Raw genomic sequence first — 25,147 nt, 5'->3', positions numbered from 1 at the left:
TTCCCTCATCCCTCTTTCTTTCAGCCTTAGAAAAAAAAATTTCTCTTTCTAATAATTTCACAATTCCAGAAATGTTATCATTTGAAATCTGCTTATTTTGTCTTCCAGCCCCACCCCTGCCACTGCTCCTGTACTCCTGCAGCAAATAATCACATCACTTATCAGCCTTTTGAACTTAGAACTGGGCATTCTGCCAGAACTCAATAGCAAGAAGAGGGTGGAGAGAAATGTCCAGGGCTAGGATCTGGGCTTTAAAGGGGATCCTAGGCAGGACTGGGCATTAGACAAGGACTGAAGAGGACTGAGCATTAGACAAGGAAAATGTCAAGGAAAGAGTAAAGAAGATGCAGAAACAACTAGGATATCAGAGGCAAATTTGACCTATTTCGCCACTTTGCTTGGACATAGCCTTGTTTACATAAAAGGGTAACACAAAAAGAGGAAGGGTTGAAGTCAGCTGAGAAAGAAAGACATTTCAAAATCATCACGGTGTCAGGGCCCAGACTTCTATTATCTCATTGTTCCTCCATGTAGGGCCTCAATCCTCAAGTCTGTTTTATTGTCCAAGATGTCTGTTCCAACTATCACATCCATTTTCCAATTAGCAAGGAAGAAGAAAGGAAGAAAGAAGGTATATTAGTTATCTATTGCTGTGTAACTACCCAACAAATTAGAGGCATGAATCAATAGCATGCATTATCTTATAGTTTCTATAAGTCAGGACTCTGGGCATGGCTTGACTGGGTCCTCTGGTTTGGGTCTCTCACAAGTCTGCAACCAAGGTGTTGGCCCAAGCTGTAGAAATCTCCAGGCTCAAATTGGGAAGGATTTTCTTCCAAGATCACTAACATGATTATTGGCAGGATTCTGTTTGCCACAGGCTGTTGGACTGAGGGTCTCAGTTCCTCACTGGTTGTTGGTCAGAGGGCCCTCAGTTCCTTGTCACATGGGCTTCTCCATAACACAGCTCACAGCATGGTAGCTTGCTTCATCCAAGTGAGCAAGCAAGAAGAGCCAGCAAGAATGTCAGGGAGATGGAAGCCACAGTCTTTTGTAAGTTGATCTTAGAAGTGACTTCTGGCTGGTCATGGTGGCTCACACCTGTAATCCTCGCACTTTGGGAGGCTGAGGTGGAAGAATCACTTGAAGCCAGGAGTTCAAGACCAGGCTGGGCAATACAGCAAGACCCTATCTCTACAAAAGATAAGAAAATTAGACAAGCATGGTAATACATGCCTGTAGTACTAGCTACTCTGGGGACTGAGGTGAGAGGATAGCTTGAGCCCAGGAGTTTGAGGTTACAGTGAGCTATGATGGTGCCACTGCACCCCGGCCTGGGTGACAGAGCAAAGCCCTGTCTCTAATAAATAAACAAATAATTTTAAAAAGAAGTTACTTTCCATTGTTTTATGCTACCCTCTATCTGTTAGAAGTACAAGCTCCAGCCCATACTCCAGGGGAGGCAACTACACAAGGGCATGACTTCCAGGAAGTAGGGTCACTGGGAGTTGTTTTAGAAGCTGCTGGCAAAGAAGGGTGTGCCCACTCCCTTTAATTTCTGAAACTGCATACACCAGTCCTGCTTACTTACCATTGGTCCATTTCTAGCTGCAAGGAAGGCAGGAAAATGAAGTCTATATTCTGGATAGCTATCAGCCTAGCTAAAATTTATGGATTCAATCCTAAAGAACTGCAGAATTCTGGAGGGTAGAAGCCTTAATTGTTCTGTATGCTTCAGGGCCAGCCCCAGACATTGAGGAGGAGAAAAATAGGGCTGGTTAGAGTCATAGAATCTGGGGTTCAAATCCTGCCTCTGTCACACCCTATATGCTGAGTAAATTAAACCTCACTGAGTCTCGGTTGTATGCTCAGACTAAATTAAATGACCTGTGTAATGCATCTTGCACTTGGTATATTCTCGATATGCCTGCAAAGTCTATTTCATAGGTAGCTTTAATATCTCAGAGCCTTGGCCGGGCGTGGTGGCTCACGCCTGTAATCCCAGCACTTTGGGAGGCCAAGGTGGGCAGATCACAAGGTCAGGAGTTTGAGACCAGCCTGGCCAACATGGTGAAACCCCATCTCTACTATAAATACAAAAATTAGCCAGGCGTGATGGTACATGCCTGTAATCCCAGCTACTCAGGAGGCTGAGGCAGGAGAATCACTTGAACTCGGGAGGCGGAGGTTGCAGTGAGCCGAGATCGTGCCACTGCACTCCAGCCTGGGTGACAGAGCGAGACTCTGTCTCAAACAAAAAAAAATTTCGGAGCCTTTTAAACCCGGCTGTGACAGCCAGTGAGCTTGCCATGTGACTCCATGCCATTTACCCAATTTCTTTGGGCCCCAGCTTCCTGTCAGGAAAAGATAGTACCAAATCCTACATATCTCTTCAAGTTGCTGAAAAGATAGCATGTGATCATGTCAATGATTCTTTTTTTAATGTGAAATGCCTGGCAAACCTAAGGTGGCATTAGTGGCCACCAAGTGGCAGTGGGGAGCAATGGGCTTGGGTTATGGCCCATGGCCACCAGATGGTGCTGGCATTCAGCAGATACCTGGTTTTGCTGGGAGCCTTTACAAGGAGCCCCAGGAGGCCAGTGCTACCCTTCATCTCTAAGATGAGAGAAATGAGGCCTGGGGGTGGTAGTGGAGGGTACAGAGAGTGGGGGTCCACACAACAGGGAGGCCTAGAGCTCAGGTTTCCTGACTCCCAGCCTGGGGTGGCACATCCCTACCCAGTAATGATACCCTCACATCCTCTCTGGAGTTGCACTGGAGACCAGTGTCCAGACCAGTGTCTTCTTGTTCGTAGGCTCGCCAACATTTAACAGCCTGCAGGATGTCCACAAGTATCATCTGTCTCTCTGGCTGTATAGCACAGTGGTTAAGAAAATGCTTTTAGGCCGGGCGCGGTGGCTCACGCCTGTAATCTCAGCATTTTGGGAGACGGAGGCGGGCAGATCGCTTGAGGTCAGGAGTTCACAACCAGCCTGGCCAACATGGTGAAACCCCGTCTCTACTAAAATACAAGCCAGGCATGGTGGTGCACGCCTGTAACTCCAGCTACTCGGGAGGCAGAGGCAGGAGAATCGCTTGAACCCAGGAGGCAGAGGTTGCAGTGAGCTGAGATCAGGCCACTGCACTCAAGCCTGAGCGACAGAGTGAGACTCCGTCTCAAAAAAAAAAAAGAAAAAAGAAACAAAGAAAAGAAAGAAAATGCTTTTAGAGTCAGGAAGATCTCAATTTGCATCTGCATATCAGCTTCCTCACCTGCAAAGTTAGGATAATAATTTTTACTCCATAGGGTTGGTATAAAATGTAAGTTAAATGAGACAAAATATGTGACTACAATAGGTAACATCAATTAGTGCTTATAAAGTGCCATACACTCTTCTAAGTAGTTTACATGTATTTAATTCTCGCCATTACCTTTTGTCGTATATACTGCAGGCGTTACTAAGCCCATTCTACAGAAGAGGAAACTGAAGCATAGAGAGGTCGTAACTTGCCCACACTCATAGTTAGTAAGTGGAGAAGCCAGGATTTGAACCTCTCTTCAGAGCCCATGCCCTTAACCATATTTGTTACTAATTGCTTGACCCAATATGTCAATTATGCCTGATAAATGACAGATATGGATCCACAGGGCCAAGCTGAGGGTTCTTGCTTTAGGCACAGGAGTTTGGAATGAGCAAAATAACCACACTGCACCTGCACTTTCAGAGTGGCAGGAGTAATATACAGGTGAAAGAAAAATGTTAAGTACCCAAGTTAAAAATAAAAAGGTAGCAATAAAATGTTAAAATTAAAAAGATAACTGAAACAAAGCAGCTGGGATAAAAAACATAGACTTTAGAGACAAAGAAACCAGTGCTTCAATTCAGATCCTGCCTTTGGCTGGCTATGGGACCTTGGTGAAGTCGTTTAACCTCTTAGAGTGTCCATCTAAAAATTAAATCTAATACCCTACCTTGTAGAATTACTGTAGGTGTTAGAGACCATTGTGGTTAAAATGCCTGTACACATTATGGCAGACATTTAATTTTTATGGTTCTTGTTATAATAGATAGATAGGTAGATCAACTGCTGGCTGAAGAGGATTCAAAGACGGTAAGCTGTTGTCCCTTCCCTCAAAGAACTTGTATAGCAGAGCGATGGATGTTCATACCATAGGTGCCTCAGGAGAGGTGAAACATGCACATGACATGAGCTTTAGAAAGGACAAGATGTTTCTCTAGCAGCGGTAAATTGGAGGAGGTTTCATGGGTATGATCCCTAAGATGAGTCTTGATGGAAAGGAGACAAGGAGTACATTCCAGAAACGTTATCAGCAAAGGTAAGGAGGCCAAGAAGAGCTGGGTTTGTCTGGGGAGTAGTAAGCATTCCAGGCTGGAAACGTGAGTCAGGCTGAAGAGTGTGGCAGCAGGGACAGGGAGAGAATTTCTGGTTAGACTTGGCACATTTAGCCCATGTGTTTGACTCTGTTCCTACAATGACAGTAAAGTAGTAAAGTCTAAACCCACAAGAACTATCAGAACAAGAGAAAAGACAACAGCTGATGGATGATGTCAAAGAATTTTGGAAGAAAGATCCCATTGGATGAGTATTAACTGACTTAGCAGATAAAAAAAAGCTGGCTGCAGGGCAGGCAAGGGGCAGAGATGCTTTCAAAAAGGAAGCCAATTTGACATGAAAAACAACAAAAAATAAGAACGGAAGAGTTTAGAAAATGGAGGTATGGGTAACTGTGAAGTTAATGGGATGGAGTGGGCTGCAAACATAAGGATGAGCTGAAAGTCAGCTTCTCCTCTCCAGCCCTGGCAAACAGCTTTGTTCATCCCACCCTGCAAAACACAGGCTTAATCTCTGGAGAGGCTGAAGGAGAGATTCTGGATCTGGGGAAGGCACCAGGCATGGAAGATGAAGAGGTAAGGCAGCATAGAGAAAGCAGGATGATCAAGTGAAAGTCTCATTCTTTTTTTTTTTTTTTTTTTTTTTTGAGATGGAGTCTTGCTGTGTCACCCAGGCTGGAGTGCAGTGGTGTGATCTCGGCTCACTGCAACCTCTGCCTCCCAGGTTCAAATGATTCTCCTGCCTCAGCCTCCTGAGTAGCTAGGATTACAGGCACGTGCCACCATGCTAACTAAATTTTTTTGTATTTTTAGTAGAGAGGGAGTTCCACCATGTTGGTCAGGCAGAAGTCTCATTCTTGAGCAATGTGATCACCCACTCCTTCTGATGGGAAGGGAAAGCGGGGGAGCCCAGAATTCTGGAAGCCTGGCTTACATTCTAGAGGAAAGAGGCTGGGGAAGGTCCTGCTGGGTAAACTGACTGGCTCAAGAGAAAGACCTGTTGATAATGGCATTGGTTGACCTTGGTTGGGGAATCCCCAGTAAAACATTAGCTTCCTACCTGATAACCTTAAGGTGCGGCCTGCCACTAAACCAGCCCTGCCCCAACACACAGAGATTTCAATGAGCTTTTCAGTGCCTCACTCTTCAATATGAACGGATGGTGAGGAAAGGAAGAGAGGATCTAAAGCAAAACCCAGTAGAAGAAAAAGGGGGAAGAAGAGGTGGAGAAGGGAGAAGAAGGAAAGAAGGAGGGACGAAGGGAGGGAGGCAGGGAGGGAGGAAAACTCAGGCGAAGCAGAGACAATTCAGAGAATTCACTGCAATTTTAAACGGCATATTTAATATCCTTAGAGGGCTAGAAAACCATTGAACCCAGGAAACAATATCAGGGGCTATGGAAAAAAAACCTTCAGAGAATAAGAATGGGCTCTTGGAAATCAAGATTGCTAAAGTTTTAATATTGTATAGGTTTAGAAGACAAAAAACTAGAAAATCTCCTAAAAATAAGGCAAATAAAGACAAAAAGAATTAATAAAAGAAAAAGATTAAAGCATCAAACAATTACTCCAGAAGGCTCAATGCCAGAATAACAGGAATTCCCGTAGGAAGAAACTGAGAAAAGTTTGGGGAATAATTACCAAATAAATTCTTTGAAAATTTTCCAGGATAGTAAAAAAAAATCACATTAAGGCACATCATTGTAACATATCAGAAATAAAGAGCAGAACCTTGTAGAGAGGAAAAACTAGGTCACCTACAAATGATTGGGGTTCAGAATACACTGGGAAAAAATGCTGGAATGGGCATGAGGGATCTTACTGGGGTGATGGAAACATTCTAAAATTTGTTTGTGGTGATGGTTGTAGAACTTGGTGAATTTAAAAGTCTTTTTTTTTTTTTAAGGTGGAGTCTTCATATATTGCCCAGGCTGGTCTCAAACCCCTGGATTCAAGCAGTCTTCCCACTTCAGCCTCGTGAGTAGCTAAGATTATAGGCAGGTGCCACTGCGCCCAGTGAAGCCATTAAATTGTACACTCAAAATGGGGAAATTTTATAAAACTCAAATATACCTCAATAACATTGTAAAAAACAGAATTCATAAAATTAAAAAATTGCAGAATTAAATATATAAAGCATTTCAAATGCAAAAATGTATAATCATATTACAAAGTAGCTAATAAAATAATACATGTGTAAGTATTAAATATACTTTTGAAATAAATTACTATGTAAAGTAAAATAGAAACAAATAAAAGCAGGAGCTCCAGAAGGAGGAACTGAGAAAAGTCTGGGGAATAATTACCAAATAAATCATTTAAAAATTTTTAAATCATTTTAAAAATTATTTAAAAAAAAGAAGAAGCTAGAAGACAGTAGACAAATTTCCACCAAATTCTGGGAGACAATTTTTTTTCTAGAATTCTCTAGCAAGTCAAATTGTCAATAAAACACGAACAAAGTTATTTGCAGACATTCCAGATTTCAAATAATTTGTCTCTGATGTACCCATTCTCATAAAAGACGTGAAGAGAAAGTAAATCATGAAAGAAGACATGGGACACAGACAATAGGGGAATTCATATAGGAGAGAGAGGGAAAAGAACTTTCTAGAATGATAATGAAGGGAGCCCCAGGATAATAGTTGCGTAGCAAACCAGGAAAGCAACCAGTCCACATTGGAGCAGGAAAACTCCAGGCTTCAGGAGTGGTTTCCAAGGAAATAATAGAACATAGAGATAACATGATTTATTTTACTATATAGAGTTCTACTCTATAAGAGAGTTGGGGACAAATTAGTGATAAGTACATAGAAAACTAAGCAAAGAAAAGAAAGAAGGTATTATTAACTCTAAAGGGAAATGCTTTTTTAAAAAATATAATCCTAGTTTATGTTGCTCGGTTGCAAGCAATATTTACATAGTCATAATAATGTATATACTGAATGTTGATTTAACTAAAAACCATGCTACAATGATATTAAGAGAATGTGTTCAGGGAAAGAAGTTGGCAGGAAGGTAAATCCTCATCTTCCTATAAGGAAGTTATCTTAGTTTGGGTTTCCCCAGAAGCAGACTCTGAGACTTAAGTAGTTTATTTGGGAAATGCAGGGGACAGCTTGCACAGGGAGTTGGGAAAGTGATGTAGGGAAGGGAAAACAGCCAATAAAGAATGTGTGATTAAGCCAGGCACAGCTGTGGGCGATTGGAGCTTAATCTTACTGGGAAAACTCTGGGAAATGGGGCAAAACACATGCTTTGGAATTATCGCACCCATGGGGGAGGGAGCTGAGGTATTTATACTCCAGCTCCTGACAGCCATTAGTTGAGGACTGCTGGGATTGGGGGAGATGGCATATTAATTTCTAGGTATGTCTAGTCTGTGAGGGCAGACCCCAGAAGCTTTCAGATACAGAGATGCAGCCCCCGGCAGTTAGAAGTAAGGAAGAATGCTGCTTAGAAATGTCTAAGGCAGGGATGTCCAAACTTTTGGCTTCTCTGGGCCACATTGGAAGAAGAATAATTGTCTTGGGCCACACATAAAATACACTAACACTAACAATAGATGGTGAGGAAAAAAAAAAAAAGGCCAGGCGTGGTGGCTCATGCCTGTAATCCCAGCACTTTGGGAGGCCAAGGAGGGCGGATCACGAAGTCAGGAGATCCAGACCATCCTAGCTTACACGGTGAAACCCCGTCTCTACTAAAAATACAAAAAAAAAAAAAAATTAGCCAAGCGTGGTGGTGGGCGCCTGTAGTCCCAGCAACTCAGGAGGCTGAGACAGAAGAATGGCGTGAACCTGGGAGGCGGAGCTTGCAGTGAGCTGAGATCGTGCCACTGCACTCCAGCCTGGGCGACAAAGCAAGAGACTCCATCAAAAATAAATAAATAAATAAATAAATCACACAAAAACTCAACGTTTTAAGAAAGTTTACAAATTTATGTTGGGCTACATTCAAAGCCGTCCTGAGCCACATGTTGCCTATGGCTGAAGGTTGGACAAGCTTAGTCTAAGGCATACAGATGGGATATTGACAGCATCTTTATTAAAAATCAATAGATAATGTCCAGAATGAAAAAATCTAAGATTACCATTTACCGCATTTGAAAAATGGAGGTAAATACCTGAAGAAACAGCAAAAAATGTTGCAATTACCTCTAAGGAGTAGTAATCACAAGTAAAAAGAAATGACACAGGGAGCAATCTGTTTTTTCATTATATACTTAGTAGGACTATTTGGTTTTAAGTAGTACATATGAATTATTTCAATAAAAATAGCATTATATTTACAAAAAAATGAACACACCAGTGCAAAGGAAGATGGGGTCATGATCTCAGGGTAGGACAAGGGCTGCAGGAAGCCAGACCCAGCCTCAGTCTCAACTTCAGAACTGATCTTCACTGGGGTCTCCAAAGCATTAGGCCACAGCAGGTGGATGGCCATTATGGGCACTGTGCCAGCGGGTGGTCCGTGTGGTCCAGGAGGATTAAGAACGGTGGTACCACTTACAGGCATAGCAAGGTCACAGGGGAGGACTGGTTTGGGAGGAAAAGGTGGTGAGGTCCCTTTGGGACATGTTGACTTGAGGTAGCTAGCAGGACATCTGAGAGATATCCAATGGGCAGCTCAGGAGCAGAATCAGGGCCTCAGGGAGTTTCTGGAAATTGCTCCCAGCAAGGTACTAACTAGCAGATGGTGTGGGAGTCCATGGAGAAATCAAGGAGACAGTCAAGCGAGGGAATTCAGGGGCAGAGTCTTGACACATGAGGGTGAGACAGAGGAGACAGTGAGAAGATAAGAAGACATGGTGACAGAAGTGTGGAGAGAAGTGTGAGGTCCGGGATCAGATTTCAAGAGTGCTGTTCGCCATTGTCCAAGGCTGCTGTTCTGTCAGGAAGAAGGAGGTGACAAAGAAAGCCCTTGCATCTGCCTGCACTCTGGGGCGGCAGAAAAACCTCTGCTTGAGGAGTCCAGCGACCTCACCGCCGGCCCTCTTTTCATCCTGCACCCTGGGCAAGTTACTCACCTCTCTGGACCTCGGTTCCCACATTACCACAATTGGACAGATAATTACAGACCATGGTAAGCACTAGTACAGTTCAATCCTGCTAAAAAACAAACAACAAAACAAAAAACAAAAAGAACAGAGGCTGGGCGCAGTGGTTCATGCCTGTAATCCCAGCACTTTGGGAGGCTGAGGCAGGCAGATCACCGGAGGTCGGGAGTTCAAGACCAGACAGACCAACATGGGAAAACCCTGTCTCTGCTAAAAATACAAAATTAACCAGGCGTTGTGGTGCATGACTGTAATCCCAGCTACTTGGGAAGCTGAGGCAGGAAAACTGCTTGAATTCGGGAGGCGGAGGTTGTGGTGAGCTGAGATATTGCGCCATTGCACTCCAGCCTGGGCAATAAGAGCGAAACTCTGTCTCAAAAAAAAAAAAAAAAAAAAAAAGGAAAGAAAAAGAAATAAAAAGAAAAGGAAAAAACAGAAATGCTTCCAGACTGCTTGGCAAAAAGCCACTTCCCTGAATCCTTCATGTCTGCCCCCACCCACACTGGACTGCCCCAGACTTCCAGGTCCCCACGCCAGTGCCCCCTCCCCCAGACCTTGCTCCAATAACTAAGAGAAGATGCCTCCAGGGCCCTCTCCAGCACTAGACCTGCATCCACTCTGATGGTTGAGCCCATCATATATGGGCTGTTAAATATTTTGACTACCACCCTCACTAATAATACCTTCCCTGCCTACCTGACAGCAACCTGGTGAGGATCAAATGAAATAACAGATGTGAAAGGCCTTTGCAAAGGCTCCAAGTGCTGTCATATATTGGGTAAAATATTGTTTTAACATCAAAATGCAAAAGTAGTGGTGCAGAGAGACGCGGTCACAGAGGGCAGGGACACAGAGCTGTGATGGATTGCAGGGCTGGAGACAGTGAGGGGGAGGGGGAGGGAGGGAGCAGCAGAGCAGAGAAGGGAGGGAGGAGCAGAGAGGCTGCAAACAGCCAGGCTGACTGTGCAGCCTCCATCCCCAAGTCACCATGATGCTGTGTGCAGGACAGAGGAGATTTGAATCCCCCGGGCCCTGCCCCAAACCCAGAAGCCAAATCCAACTCAGACCACACCCTGGGCTTTTGCCCCTGCACCTGACTTCATGGGTGTATGGGGTGGAAACAAGAACATTATGCACATGTTCTTGTTCAAGCAGCTTGATGTGGCTTGTGTCATTGTTAAAAGTCCCAGGACAGCAGGAACCACAGCTATTGTGTGGTTTGTGCCACCTCTAGAGGTCTGACACCTCAGAGCCAAGCCAACATGTGGGGCCTTCCTGTATCAACCCCAGCAATCCTCTAACTCCCTAGGACCCCTACCATCCACAAACGTGTTCAAACACCTTTCCTCATGCGATGCTATTGATGGTAATGCTATTCCTGTTTTACAGTGGAGGAAACTGAGGCTCAAAGAAGTTAAAGTGGCTTGCCAGAGGTACCCAGGTTCGTTGGTTCTTTCTTTCTCTCTCTCTTTTTCTCTTTCTTTCTTTGTTTTTCTCTTTTTATTGTCTTTCTCTCTTTTTATTTTCTTTCTCTCTCTCTTTCTTTCCTCTCTCTGTCTTTCTCTCTCTCTCTCTCTCTCTCTCTCTCTCTCTCTCTCTCTCTCTCTCTCTCTTTCTTTTTGAGACAGGGTCTCATTCTGTTGCCCAGGTTGGAGTGCAGTGGTGCAATCTCGGCTCACTGCAGCCTCTGCCTCCCAGGCTCAAGTGATCCTCCCAACTCAGCCTCCTGAGGAACTGGAACTACACATGTGCACCATCACACCTGGCTAATGTTTGCATTTTTTGTAGAGACAGGGTTTCTCCATGTTGCCCAGGCTGGTCTCAAACTCCTGAGCTCAAGCGATCCACCCACATTGGCGTCTCAAAAGTGCTAGGATTGCCACCATGCCCAGCCCATTTTCTTATTTTCTAAACAGACCAGATGGAACTTACTGGAGAGGTGAAGGTAACAGTGTTTGAAAGAAGGAGGATCATTCATTCTTCTGTTTTAATTCAGGCCCTCTAGATACAGGCCCTCTAATACAGATACATATTAACATATGCAAGTCAATAAATGTGATACACCACATAAACAGAATTTAAAACAAAAATCACATGATCATCTCAATAGATGCAGAAAAAACATTCCACAAAATCCAGCAGCCCAGCTGGGTACAGTGGCTCACGCCTGTAATCCCGGCACTTTGGGAGTCTGAGGTCAGTGGATCACCTGAGGTCAGGAGTTCAAGACAAGTCTGGCCAACATGGCAAAACCCCATCTCTATTAAAAATACAAAAATTAGCCTGGCATGGTGGCGCATGCCTGTAATCCCAGCTACTCAGGAGGCTGAGGCAGGAGAATCGCTTGAACCTGGGAGGCAGAGGGTGCAGTGAGCCGAGATCACAACACTGCACTCCAGCCTGGACAACAGAGTGAGACTCTGTCTCAAAAAAAAAAAAAAAAATCCAGCATCCCTTTATGATTAAAACTTTCAGCAAAATCAGCATACAAGGGACATACCTCAATATAATAAAAGCCATCTATGAAAAACCCACTGCTGACATAATACTGAATGGGGAAAATTTGAAAGCATTCTCCCTGATAACTGGAACGAGACAAGGATGCCCACTCTCACCACTTCTCTTCAACATAGTACTGGAAGTCCTAGCCAGAGCAATCAGACAAGAGAAAGAAAAAAAGGGCATCCAAATCAGTAAAGAGGAAGTCAAACTGTCATTGTTTGCTGATGATATCATTGTATACCCAGAAAACCCTAAAGATTCCTCCAGGCTGGGCCCAGTGGCTCATGCCTGTAATCCCAGCACTTTGGGAGGCTGAGGCCAGAGGATCACCTGAGGTCAGGGGTTCGAAACCAGCCTGGCCAACATGACGAAACCCGGTCTCTACTAAAAATACAAAAATTAGCTGGGCATAGTGGCAGATGCCTGTAATCCAAGCTACTCAGGGAAGCTGAAGCATGAGAATTGCTTGAACCTGAGAGACAGAGGTTGCAGTGAACCAAGATCCTGCCACTGCACTCCAGCCTGGGCAACAAAGCAAGACTCCTTAAAAGAAAAAAGTGGGCTAAGGACATGAATAGACAATTTTCAAAAAAAAAGTATGAAAATGACCAACATATATATGAAAAAATACTCAACATCACTAATGATCAGGGAAACGCCAATCAAATCCACAATCTGATACCACCTTACTCCTGCAAGAACGACCATAATCAAAAAATCAAAAGATTATAGATATTGGCATGGATGCAATGAACAGGGAACACTTTTACACTGCTGGTGGAAATGTAAACGAGTACAACCACTAAGGAAAACAGCATGGAGATTCCTTAAAGAACTAAAAAAGTAGAACTACCATTTGATCCGGCAATCCCATTACTGGTATCTACCCAGAGGAAAAGACATCATTATACGAAAAAGATACTTGCACAAGCATATTTATAGCAGCACAATTCATAATTGCAAAAATGTGGAACCAACCCAAATGCCCATTAATTAACAAGTGGATAAAGAAGCTGTGGTATATCATATATATATATGATGGAATACAACTCAGCCATAAAAGGAATGAATTAATGGCATTCTCAGAAACCTGGATGAGATTGGAGACTATTGTTCTAAGTGAAGAAACTCAGGAATGGAAAACCAAACATTACATGTTCTCCCTCATAAGTGGGAGCTAAGCAGTGAGGATGCAAAGGCATAAGAATGCCACAATGGACTTTGGGGACTCAGAAGGAAAGGATGAGAAGCAGGTGAGGGATAAAAGACTACAAATTGGGTGCAGTGTAGACTTCTTGGGTGATGAGTGCACCAAAATCTCACAAATCACCACTAAGAACTTACTCATGTCACCGAACACCACCTGTTCCCCAATAATCTATGGAAATAAAATTTTTTTTAAAAAAAACAATAATTCAGGCTGTCTAACTCCAAGTCCAGTCCAGAACTATGACTCACCTGGAACAATTGCTACTACTTCTGCCTGAAGAAGAATTCTCCAGGAGAAACCATTTGACCCTTGTGCCTACTAATTTCAATATTGCTTCCATCTCTCTCCCACCTATCCCATCTTCTGTACTCATCCCATCATGCACTCCTCTGTTTAACAACCTTTAAAGACTCCCAAATCCCCTCTTTGGCATGGCACACCAGGCCCTTCAAAACTTCATCCAAACATCTAGCCCAAGGGTTGCAAACTCAAGTGCCCATAGGAGCAAGATGGGCTAGTTAAGTAAATGGGTGAAAATGGAAGTGCTGGGGAGTGGTGGGGGTTGAGGCCAGCTGGGGAGCACATGTTCATCTGAAGGAGCTAGCAGCTTCTTAGGGCTCAAAAAAGGTGGCCATATGGGAATACATGCCTAGCGTTACTTAGGGTTATCTTCTGGTTTTTCAAGAAAAGCCAAAAGTCCAGAGTGTTTGGTGAAATCACTCAATTTTTAAATGTTGAGACAACTTAAATATGTGTATATACTGTACACGCCAAACAACTCACATCTGCAGTTGACTTTGGAGGGTGGGCTGCCATTTTGTGATCTGTATTTTGAGCAATCTGGTCCATTCACTATTCCCCAAGCACTGTTCAGATCTAGGATGTTTGTCCAAGCTGTTCCACCTAGAATGCCATCTCCTCCCTCCACTAATCTTAACCCTTTGGCAAATCCCTACTTGTCTTTGAAGACTCAAGTCAGCTCTCATCTTCTTTCTGTGACTGCCTGTCTCTGCCTCTGCGCCCCGACCCCAGCTCTAGGCAGAATTAACTGCTCTCTCGCCTGCTTTCCCATGCGCTTCGTGCTAATGTCTAATAATGTCCTTCCTGCCTGGGATCATCACCAGCACAGCAGAGTGAGGGGAATACCTGTGCTGCTTATCTACTCTGACTCCAATAAACCACCTGGTTTAAGTCCTGGCTCCATCCTAGGTCAAGTTCAAAACCTTTCAATGCCTTCACTTTCTCATTTGTAAAATGGAAAGAAAAGTAGTTTCTACCTCATGGGATAATAATGGGAAGTGAATGTGTATAAAGAGTGCCTTCTATAGTGTTCACTAGGTAGAAGTGCCTGCTTGTATTTTAGCCACACACACACACACACACACAAACTGTAAACACTTACCGAGCACCTATTGTGTGCCAGGCTGTGCTGGAGTGGGGGAGGGGGTACTTTCATTTCTGTGCTTTATGTTTCCATGGGGAAGGACTGCAGCTAGAATAACCCTACTGGCCTCGCTCCCTACTCCTCCCCATGGGAAGAGAAGGGATTTATCTGATAGTGAATTTGAAAGGAAGATCTGAGCCTGAGAAGCTCAACCCCTTCCTCTCCCTTTCTCTCTCAGAACCAATCTGCCTGCCAGATACCTGCTTCACGTTGCTTCTTCAGGTGAAGGCTCCAGGCAGAGACTTGCAGTGTCCAAGCTCTGCCTGGTCAGGGGAACATCAGGAAGCCTACTGTGGCCACACACTGAGGTATCATCTTCCACCCCAGAGTGATCAAAGATAAAGCCGATCGGGCTGGGCGCAGTGGCTCACGCCTGAAATCCCAGCACTTTGGGAGGCCGAGGCAGGTGGATCACCAGGTCAGCAGTTTGAGACCAGCCTGGTCAACATGGTGAAACCCCGTCTCTACTAAAAATACAAAAAAAATAGCTGGGCGTGGTGGCGGGCGCCTGTAATCCCAGCGACTTGGGCGGCCGAGGCAGGAGAATCGCTTGAAACCGGAAGGTGGAGGTTGCAGTGAGCTGAGATTGCGCCACTGCACTCTAGCCTGGGCAATAAGAGCAAAACTCCGTCTCAAAAAATAATAATAATAATAAATCAATCAACAAATAAAGCCGATCTTCCTATCTGCATGATTCCTGTGTCTGTCTCTCCAAAGGTTCCAAAATCAAGTTGAGAGGAGTGTTATTTGCTGGTTCCTCCAACAAAATCCCAACACTGGGACTACAGAGGAGAGTGAGACACAGCCTCGGCTCCCAACAGCTCACAGTCTAGTTTCTATGGGTTCCTCAGTGGAGCAGGAATTCCCTGAGTCCATGCAGTATGGGGCAAAGTGCACAGATGTGGGAGCAGACAGATTCGTTTGAACCCTGGTTCTGTCACTTATGAGCTGGGCAAGATTTATGCAAGTTGTTCTGGGTCTTGGTTTTGTCCTCTGTAATATGAGTTGTTGCAGGGTCAGAACCTGTTACAGGGGAGGGTCATTTTGCATGTTCACAAATCAGTGCTCAAATTAAAATGTTTGATGTTATGCCCAATCGTGTTTCCTTCCACAGCCTTCTTTTTCTCAATAAATGGCAACTTCATTCTTCCATTGTCCAGGTCAGAAACCTTGGAGTCATCCTTCTCTCCCACCACACTTCCAACCCGTCAGCAAATTCTGCTGGCTTTACGAAATATATCTGGAATCTGAGCACTCCTCCTGATCTCCACTGCCACCTCCCTGGTCTGCACAACCATCACTCCTCACCTCGGTAATCACGGCGGCCTCCTCAGTGAGCCCCTGCTTCCACCTCCCCTCCTGTACAGTATGTTCAACCCAGCAGCCAGATGGAGCTCGTAAAAAGTCAGTCAAATCATGTAGCTCCCTACTCAAAATTCTTCCAAGACTTCCCATGGCATCCAGAGTGAATACCAATGTTCTTACAGGGGCCTAGGAGGCACTCTCTGGCCCCCAGCTGCCTTTCCCATCCAGTCCCCTACTCTCTTCCTCTTGGTCTCCCTGCTCCCGCCACACTGGCCTCCTTGCCATTCCTCAAATAGCCAGGCATGCTCCTGTCTCAAGCCTTCGCACTGGCTGGCCCCACTGCCTGGGAGTCTTCCCCAGATAGCCACATGGCTTGCTTCCTCATCCCCTTGGTGTCTTTGCTCAGATGTCATTTTCTCACGGAGGCCTTCTCTAACCCTCTTCTTTTGAATTGCAACCCTTCTCTCTTTACCGCCTGTCTCTCTTATCCTGCTTTATTTTTCTCCATCAGACAATTGGTGTTCCATATGGGGCCACCAGATAAAGCTGTGCAGATTGGATGCCTTGCCAAGCAAGAGTGAGCCCAGGCTCTGCTTGCCGAGCTGTGTGCCCTGGCACAGGGTTTCCTCCACCCACACACAAGTGTGGCCTTTTTCTAATTTGCATGAAGGTGTTGTATAAGCCAGTGGATACCCAAAGATTATATATTTTATTTCTTCTTCTGCTTATCATTTGTTTCCCCACCCTCCCTAGCCAGGAAATAAGCTCCTTAAGGGCAGAGATTTTTGTCTTGTTCACTGATGTATCCTCAGCTCTTATAAAGGCCCAGGCACACACCAGGTGTTCAATAAACTTTGAGTCAATGAATAAGGCAACTGCTTGACAAGTTTTGTTGTATTACACTAAAGGTTGACACTAAAAATAAAAGATAGTTGTGCCTTTATTGAAGTCCCCTCTCTTCAACTCACTTAAGAATCCCCATTGTCTAGTGGAGTGAATATTCTGATCATCCATTACCACCTTTATCCCATCCGCTTTGATCACTTTCTGCCACATCTAACAGAGTCTGGGTTCGTTGCCATCCAATACCGCCTTCATTTCTTCTGCATTAATCACACTCAGCTGTGCCAATGCCAGATCCCAGCGTCTCATGTTTCCTGCCACTGTGCTCCCAGTGAGGGACTGTCTGCAGGATGGGGCAGAAAAGAGGGAGCTGTGGCCAATGGCCACCAAGACCTGCATATCCAGTTGCCTGCAGCTCTCCACATACTTGAAGGCCCCACAGGCACCCCAAAGCAGCATGTCCAGAATTGAACTTACTGGTTCCCTTCCTTCCCCTTCTTACAAACCTGCTAGTGGCCATAGCAGTTCCCAAGCCAGAAACCGAGGACTCTTCCTCTACACCTCCCCCGCCTTACTCCCCACATGTAGTTACCACCAAGGCCTGTTGATTGGATCTTCCAAAAATTCCTGTTAAAAAGATGTCTCCTTTCACTGTCTTAGCACAGTACCCAGTGATTTCACTGTCACTGTTATGATAGTCTCCTAATTGTTCTCCTTTGCTGCCATCAACCCAAGTCATCCTGCAGCGAAGAGTGGTCTTTCTTTTCTTTTTCTTTTTCCTTTTTTTTTTTGAGATAGAGTCTCACTCTGTCACCCAGACTGGAGTGCAATGGCATGATCTCCGTTCACTGCAACCTCCACCTCCTGGGTCCAAGTGATTTTCTAACCTCTGCCTCCCGAGCAGCTGGGATTACAGGCATGGGCCACCACGCCCTACTAATTTTTGTATTTTTAGTAGAGAAGGGCCTCTACTAAACATGGCTTCACCATGTTGGCCGGGCTGGTCTCAAATTCCTGTCCTCAAGCAATCCGCCTGCCTCAGCCTCCCAAAGTGCTGGGATTACGGGCATGAGCCAGCGCGCCCAGCCAAGAGTGGTCTTTCTTAAACGTGTACCTGTGACTCTGTCTCTAAGAATCCTTCAGTGATGCCCCATGACAAGAGCAGGAAATCCAACCTCGCAGACCCATCTACTTCTCCAGCCTCACATTCCACTCCTTCCTGCTCTCACACTTCCTGTTCTTGTAATACTGAGCCATGTGATCTCACGCCTCCATGCTTTGCGTATTCTATTCTCTCTGCCTGCCATGCTTTCCTCTACTTCTTATCCCAGGAAGGCACCTTCATCATTTAATATCTTAGAAAGGCAGTCAAATGTAATGGCATCAGGCCAGGTACGGTGGCTCACACCTGTCATCCTAGCACTTTGGGAGGCCGAGGTGGGTGGATCATTTGAGGTCAGGAGTTCAAGACCAGCCTGGCCAACATGGTGAAACCCCTGTCTCTACCAAAAATATAAAAATTAGCCGGGCGGTAAGTGGTATGCCCCTGTAATCCCAGCAACTTGGGAGGTGAGGCAGGAGAATTGCATGAACCTGGGAGGTGGAGGTTGCAGTGAGCCAAGATCTTGCCACTGCACTCCAGTCTGGGCTACAGATTGAGACCCTATCTCAAAAAAAAAAAAAAAATGTAGTTGCATCAAATCCTACTTTCCGTCTTACTAGCTATGTACATTTGGATCGCTTTCCTAAGCCCTCTGTGCGTCTGTTTGTAAAATGGGAATAACAGAACCTACCTCCCAGGCTTTTCTGATAATTGAGTTCATTGACGGAAGGTTCTAGCACCATGTCTGGAACGTGGTAAGCATGGAATGCTGGTTTTTATTATGTATCCCTTAAAGTCCACCTCAGATATCACTTCTCCCCTCTTCTACGCCATTTCTCTACCTTCTTCAAACATCTGCCATTGCACTTACCTCAGTACGAGATGATAAGTTACATTGTCTGTCCCTCAGAGTGGACTCTCTGGACTGTGAGCTCCTTGAGGGCTGGTCTTAAATGTCAGCTAAATAAACATTGATTTCGTTTGATTGACCACATGAAGTAATGACCAACCTTAGGTAAGACATTCAGAAGAACTGTGCTGAGAGAGAGTGGTGCAAACTTTAACTTTTCCCCCAAGTTCATGGCTCTGCTGCACTATGTGTGTTTGCAAGGGGGCCTGGAAGCCATTCTGCCTCCGTGGCTGAGAACTCTCCATTTCAGGCCTCCACATCGCTGCCAGCTGTCCCCAGCACCATCTTGCCCAGGAGAGTCTGGGCAGGGGGCCTCCCTTCCATGCTGATGGTGGACAGGCAATATTCCAGAGCCTGCTGCTGACATTGGGCTCAACAGCCACTGCTAGGCAGGACTAATAAGGAAGCTCTGATGAAACTGCTCAGGAAGCCGGAAGTGGGACTGCGGTGGGTCCAAGCCTGGCAACACACAGACAGCTCAGCCCTTCTCGTGCTCTCAGCAACTTCAGCTTTGGCTGGGGTGTGATGTTTCCTTAGCTCCGGACCTGCCTACCAGACTCCCAAAAGACTGCTGGGTTTCTTCCTGCAGCAATTCTCACTCTTTTTGGTACTTGTCACTGTTAACAGCATCAGATGCTTCTTGCCTCAATCATGAAAATCAGAGTGTTTTCAGCTTTCCATAGCCATTGAGAAACGTGGGCTGCCCTCCTCTCTCTCTCTCTCTGGTTTCTTACATAACATACTGTATATGAGCCACTGCCATCCCCCAACGAAATCTGGAATGTCTGAGGTCATTGCTGGATAGCCATGAGAATCTTGCTTCTAAACGTTTGCTGCCAGTCTTCCCTTTGCAGGAAACGGCTCCCAGCCCTCGGCTCCATCCCACAGGAACAGCTCCTGGTCAGAACCACTGTCCAATCTCACCAGACATGCTGAATCGGCTGCCCAGGGGACTGAAACCTCACTTCTGGGACACAAAGAGCCCACCACTTTCTCAGCATTTTGCAGACCTTATTAGTCCCCATCTGTCTCATATTTACAATTAAGCATCAAAAACGTCCTGCTGAGCCTGGAATTTGAAGTAAAGGAGAGGGTACCCCTAGCACATCATTGAATTTTGCAGTTTGAGTGTGCCAAGCACTTTACAGAGAGTGATGCAATAAAGAAATCAGAAACTATATATACGTGTGTGTGTGCGCGCGCGCGCGCATGTGCGTGCACCCTGTTGAAGAAGCTGGCTTGGGAGAGGAAAGATGACAACGCTGTTAATCTACCCTTAGCTCAGCTTAGTTCATCAGAATCGCTGGGGACTGAGACTCTGCTGCCTACACTTCCTGCCGTTCATTCTCTTTTCTGCTTCTTCCCATTTTTCCGGCTCCTTTTTCTTTCTGCGATCCCTGACTTTCTCTCCCAAAGCTTTATTCCCACCCTTGGCTGTTGCCCTGCACCCACACCTTCCACCTCAGCTTGGCCTTCTCCAGGGACCATGTCTTTGATTCTTTGGCCATCGCCATGGGGCTAGCACACGGCCTCTTCTTCCTGAGCTTCTCTTTTCCCACGTCTCAGTGCTGTCTGAGTTTACTCCTCCTCCTCCAACATGCTCCTCCTGAGCATGTTGCCCACCTCAGTCCATAATCTGTGTCCCTCCGCAAAAGCCTTCTACGCCCAGGGGCTCGGGCCCTTCTTGGGGAGATCTGCCTGAGGAAGGGAGGGCAGAAATCAAGTCATGGTTTAGGGGAGCTGGCTGCCACGGACTGGGACCATTGAAAGCTTGCCCACGAGTGGGAGGCTTTTGGCTACAAAAGCCCCATTCATCTAATACATTTTACAGACACCCTGGAGGGCTATGAGCACCTCTTACCCAGACACCCAACTCCACGGGAGAGAGAATCTCAGTCAGCCCTAAATAGCAGATTTAATTCCTTCAGATTAACCACAAATTCGGTTTGTATCCCACATGCAAATGAGCTTCCTGTAGCCTCTCTGCACAACGACCGTCATGCACAAAGACCAGAAGGGGTAACCTCAGGAAAAGTGTATTTCATCTTCCTCCTGTGCCTAATTCCTGAGCTCCTTTCTCTCTAATCATGTTTATTCTAATGTAAGAAGATGGCAAATGTCAGAATGTCATGAGATGAATCTATGATCTAATTTATTTTTTCAGGGAAAAAAAATGGGACCTGAAACACCTATTTAAGTCAGGTGTTCTGAAAATGATTAAATAAGAGGAACAAGAGGACGAACTAAGTGTAAAATACAGCTCAAGAGGCCTGGTGCCGCGGAGTCAACCTGCTTATTACGCTGTACGATGTGAATAATTTATCACGTTTTACCCTGCATTAAGTACCACTGAGGATTAATCTGCAGTTTATTTGCAAACCATATTAACCCCTGCCTGCCTCATTCTGCCGTCTCCTAGGGGAGGTTTGTGGAAAATCTCTCTGCTGCTCTTGTGCCACATAAGCAAGGACTGGACAGCAGAAACTAACCAGCCTAACTAACTAGCTCCCTTCTGGGAATGCATCTGGGAACATCAAGTCCCCATGTTGTCTGCTTCTGGGGCATTCTTCCCCTCGTAACCTTCCTGTGTTCCTACTCAGGCTGCCCCCTCCTATTGCCACGTCCCTTCCATTTCACTTCTTATGTATTTATTTATTTTTATTTTTTGAGACAGGATCTTGCTCTGTCGCCAGGCTGGAGTGTAGTGGTGCGATCTCAGCTCACTGCAACCTCCACCTCTGGGTTCCAGCAATCCTCCTGCCTCAGGCTCCTGAGTAGCTGGGATTATAGACGCCTGCCACCATGCCTGGCTAATTTTTGTATTTTTAGTAGAGACGGGGTTTCACCAAGTTGGCCAGGATGGTCTCGATCTCTTGACCTCATGATCCGCCCTCCTTGGCCTCCCAAAGTGCTGGGATTAACAGGCGTCAGCCACCGCGCCCGGCTATTTATTTTTTGAGAAGGAGTCTCACTCTGTCGCCCAGGCTGGAGTGCAGTGGCACGATCTCGGCTCACTGCAACCTCCACCTCCCAGGTTCAAGAGATTCTCCTGCCTCAGACTCCCAAGTAGCTGGGATTACAGGCGCCCACCACTATGTCCAGCTAATTTTTTGTATTTTTTTTTTTTAGTAGGGACAGGGTTTCACCATGTTTGTCAGGCTGGTCTCAAACTCCTGACCTTGTGATCTGCCCACCTCGGCCTCCCAAAGTGCTAGGATTATAGGCATGAGGCACTGTGCCCGGCCTTATTTATTCTTTTCTTTCTTTTCTTTTTCTTTTTTTTTTTTTGAGATGGAGTCTTGTTCTGTCCCCCAGGCTGGAGTGCAGTGGTGCTATCTCGGCTCACCACAACCTCCGCCTCCCAGGTTCAAGTGAGTCTCCTGCCTCAGCCTCCCGAGTAGCTGGGACTATAGGCGCACGCCATCACACCTGGCTAATTTTTGTATTTTTAGTAGAGACAGTGTTTCACCATGTTGGCCAGGCTGGTCTCAAACTCCTGACCTCAGGTGATCCATCTGCCTTGGCCTCCCAGTGTGCTGGGATTACAGGAGTGAGCCACCATACCGGGCCTGTTCTTTTATTTCTATGCCATACACGGCTAGGCTAGGTCCTTACATCTCATGCGGGACTCACAGCCAAAACCTCCTAACTGACCTTCCTGACTGGTCCTCCCCCATCCTCCAGTTTATTCTATATATGACTAATGTTCCTAAAATCCTATTTTCACCCAAACTTTCTTTGGCATGGAAGCCTCCTGCTGGGTCCTGCTCAGGGACACAGATCTGCTTCCTTCGCCCAGCACTTACGCCTCCTTTGATCCGGCACCACCATCTCTCCATCCTCACCTCCTACTCCTCCTTTCCAGACACCCTCCCTTTGAGCAGACCAACCCCGGGCCTCCCTGAACAGCCAGACTTGCTCCCATTGCCTTAGGCTTTGTCTCTGCCCTCCTCTCCGAGGGAAGTCTGCCTCTGCCCTCCCTGTGTCCAGCTCAGCTGAAAATCCCCACTGCCCGTGAACTCCTGACCACACAGGGCTTTCCCTTCCTCCAGCACCTCCTGGCCACTCTGTTCGTTGCGGAGTACCTTTGGAGCTGGGACTCTAGGGTGTCTGCCTGGGAGAAACTTAGAAACAGCAATCTGGTTGGAAGCAGGGCCAGGGACTTGTCTCAAAGCTGTGGTAGAATTCAACTGATTTATCTTATTTTTATTTTTTGAGATGGAGTCTTGCTCTGTCACCCAGGCTGGAGTGCAGTGGTGCCATCTTGGCTCACTGCAACCTCTGCTTCCTGGGTTCAAGCGATTCTCGTGCCTCAGCCTCTAGAGTAGCTGGAATTACAGGCGCCTGCCACCATGCACAGCTAACTTTTGTATTTTTAGTAGAGACGGGGTTTCACTGTCTTGGCCAGGCTGGTGTCGAACTCCTGAACTCAGGTGATCCACCTGCCTTGGCCTCTCAAAGTGCTGGGATTACAGGCGTGAGCCACCACACTCGGCCTTCATCTGATGCTTTACAGTAATTTTTCTAAAGGGGCTTGTACTCACATTTTCCATAAGAGTAAGAAGACATCCCCCGCCCATGTCAAAAACATGATTTTTAGTTGTTTTTTTGAGGGGGGGAGGCGGGGGTGATTCATGAAGATGAGGGGCATAAAACATACCTCTCCAAGCCACTCCTTGGCACTGCCACTGCCCTTGCACTATTCAAGGAAGTGGAACAGACATGCTGAAACAAGTCCTTTGCATATAAAAGCATGATATACAAAGTGCAACTCCCAGGTGTCAGAATTATTTGCAGAGAGGCCAGGCGCGGTGGCTCACACCTGTAATCCCAACACTTTGGGAGGCCAAGGCGAGTGGATCGCTTGAGGTCAGGAGTTCGAGACCAGCCTGGCCAACATGGTGAAACCCTGTCTCTACTAAAAATATAAAAATTAGCTGGGCCTGGTGGCTTGCATCTGTACTCCCAGCTACTTGGGATGCTGAGGCAGGAGAAATGCTTGAACCCAGGAGACAGAGGTTGCCGTGAACTGAGATCATGCCACTGCACTCCAGCCTGGGTGACAGAGCAAGACTCCATCTCAAAAAAAAAAAAAAAGAATTATTTGCAGAGTTATAAGAGTCCAAGTTTTTGACTCATTTATTTGCCTCACATTCTGCCATGTTATTTGATATTCCAGACATCTTAGGAGGTCTCCGCCTGTGCTTTCCCAGTGCAGCAACCCTCTGGGATTAGCGGGCAAGCTCATTAGGAATGTGCAGCCCTCTGCCCCTCCCACTTCTCCAACTGATCCTGTACCAGGTCCTCTAGGGCCTCCTCCGCTGCATTCTCCTCCTCACCTTGAGGTAGAGGTCGCCTGACTTTACAGGGCCACCCTCCCTTCTACTTCCTTTATTCCCACTTGAGACAATCTCAGACCTTATCTTATCCTCTAGATCCTCAAAATCATTTTTCCTTTGTCCATTTTCCAGTTGTGTCTCTTGCCTTAAATCTCTAACAACAAGGTAGCAATGAATGAAGGAATGAATGCCGCCTCTTGCGTCTCCTCACCTGCATCATAATATCAGCGTTGCCCACGTAGTGACCTTTCATGCACGTTGTCTCATATCAGCCCTGAGGTTCAGAGGGGTGAGGTGACCTGCCCCAGGTTAAGCAGCTGTAAATGGATCACCCTTTCCCAGGGACTTTTAGGCCACTTCAGAGCACCCCATGTTTCTAATTGAGCCAGGCTCAAGGTTGATGTTGACATGCTCCCACAGTAAATGACCTTCACCAGTAGTGACCTATATATCTATCCAAAGGACAGAACAGGGACAGGTTTGTGAGCCCAAACAGGATGGGTGGCAGCTTTCAGCGATTCCTCTCTGTGGTGAGTAACTCAGCCTTTATCCCTGGAATGCATCATAGAACTGCGTTCCAGTCCTCCCCTCACACGATGGCCTCATTGACTCCCCAGCCACACAGGTTACTTCCCCCTTCACTTCCTGCCCAGACCCATTTCCAACTGCAGCCCCAGCCTGCAGGCCTAGCAGGCACCTGGGAAACAGCTGCAGGTGACCCAGGTGGCTTATGGTCAGGGCCAGCCTGGCCCAGCCTGCAAGGATCAATCCATGGAACCGAAGACAAACAATCCCAGGACCTCTCATCGGGTGGCCAGGGAGGCAGGCACAGGTGGCTGGTTGCACTGGGGCCGAGGTCTGGTCTTAGAGAGGGCCAGCTTCAGGACTGCAGGGACCAGATGACCCAGGGACACCCCAGCTCCACTCCGGAGTGGGGTTCAGTCTGCACTTGGACAGGGCCTCCTGGCCCCACTGCTTAGCAACTTAATTCAACATCTGAACAATCAGCATCATACATAGACTAAGAATTATTCAACATCAAGGAAGCAAATTGGGAGGAATCTAGAAATCTTAATGAA

General features: G+C 46.2%; 2 annotated features.

Moving 5' to 3' along the window:
* Positions 14,999-15,499: an enhancer, noted in NCBI's record as "H3K4me1 hESC enhancer chr3:184508256-184508756 (GRCh37/hg19 assembly coordinates)". NCBI's record gives its function as "activates a minimal SCP1, AML or CMV promoter by ChIP-STARR-seq in primed H9 embryonic stem cells {active_cell/tissue: H9 hESC(primed)}" and the evidence as "EXISTENCE:reporter gene assay evidence [ECO:0000049][PMID:30033119]".
* Positions 24,358-24,858: an enhancer, noted in NCBI's record as "H3K4me1 hESC enhancer chr3:184498897-184499397 (GRCh37/hg19 assembly coordinates)". NCBI's record gives its function as "activates a minimal SCP1, AML or CMV promoter by ChIP-STARR-seq in naive H9 embryonic stem cells {active_cell/tissue: H9 hESC(naive)}" and the evidence as "EXISTENCE:reporter gene assay evidence [ECO:0000049][PMID:30033119]".

The sequence above is a fragment of the Homo sapiens genome, chromosome 3 (assembly GCF_000001405.40).
Source record: "Homo sapiens chromosome 3, GRCh38.p14 Primary Assembly".
Classification (NCBI taxonomy): domain Eukaryota; kingdom Metazoa; phylum Chordata; class Mammalia; order Primates; family Hominidae; genus Homo; species Homo sapiens.
Note: the sequence above shows the minus strand (reverse complement) of the source record. Positions and strands in the feature narration are given on the sequence as shown.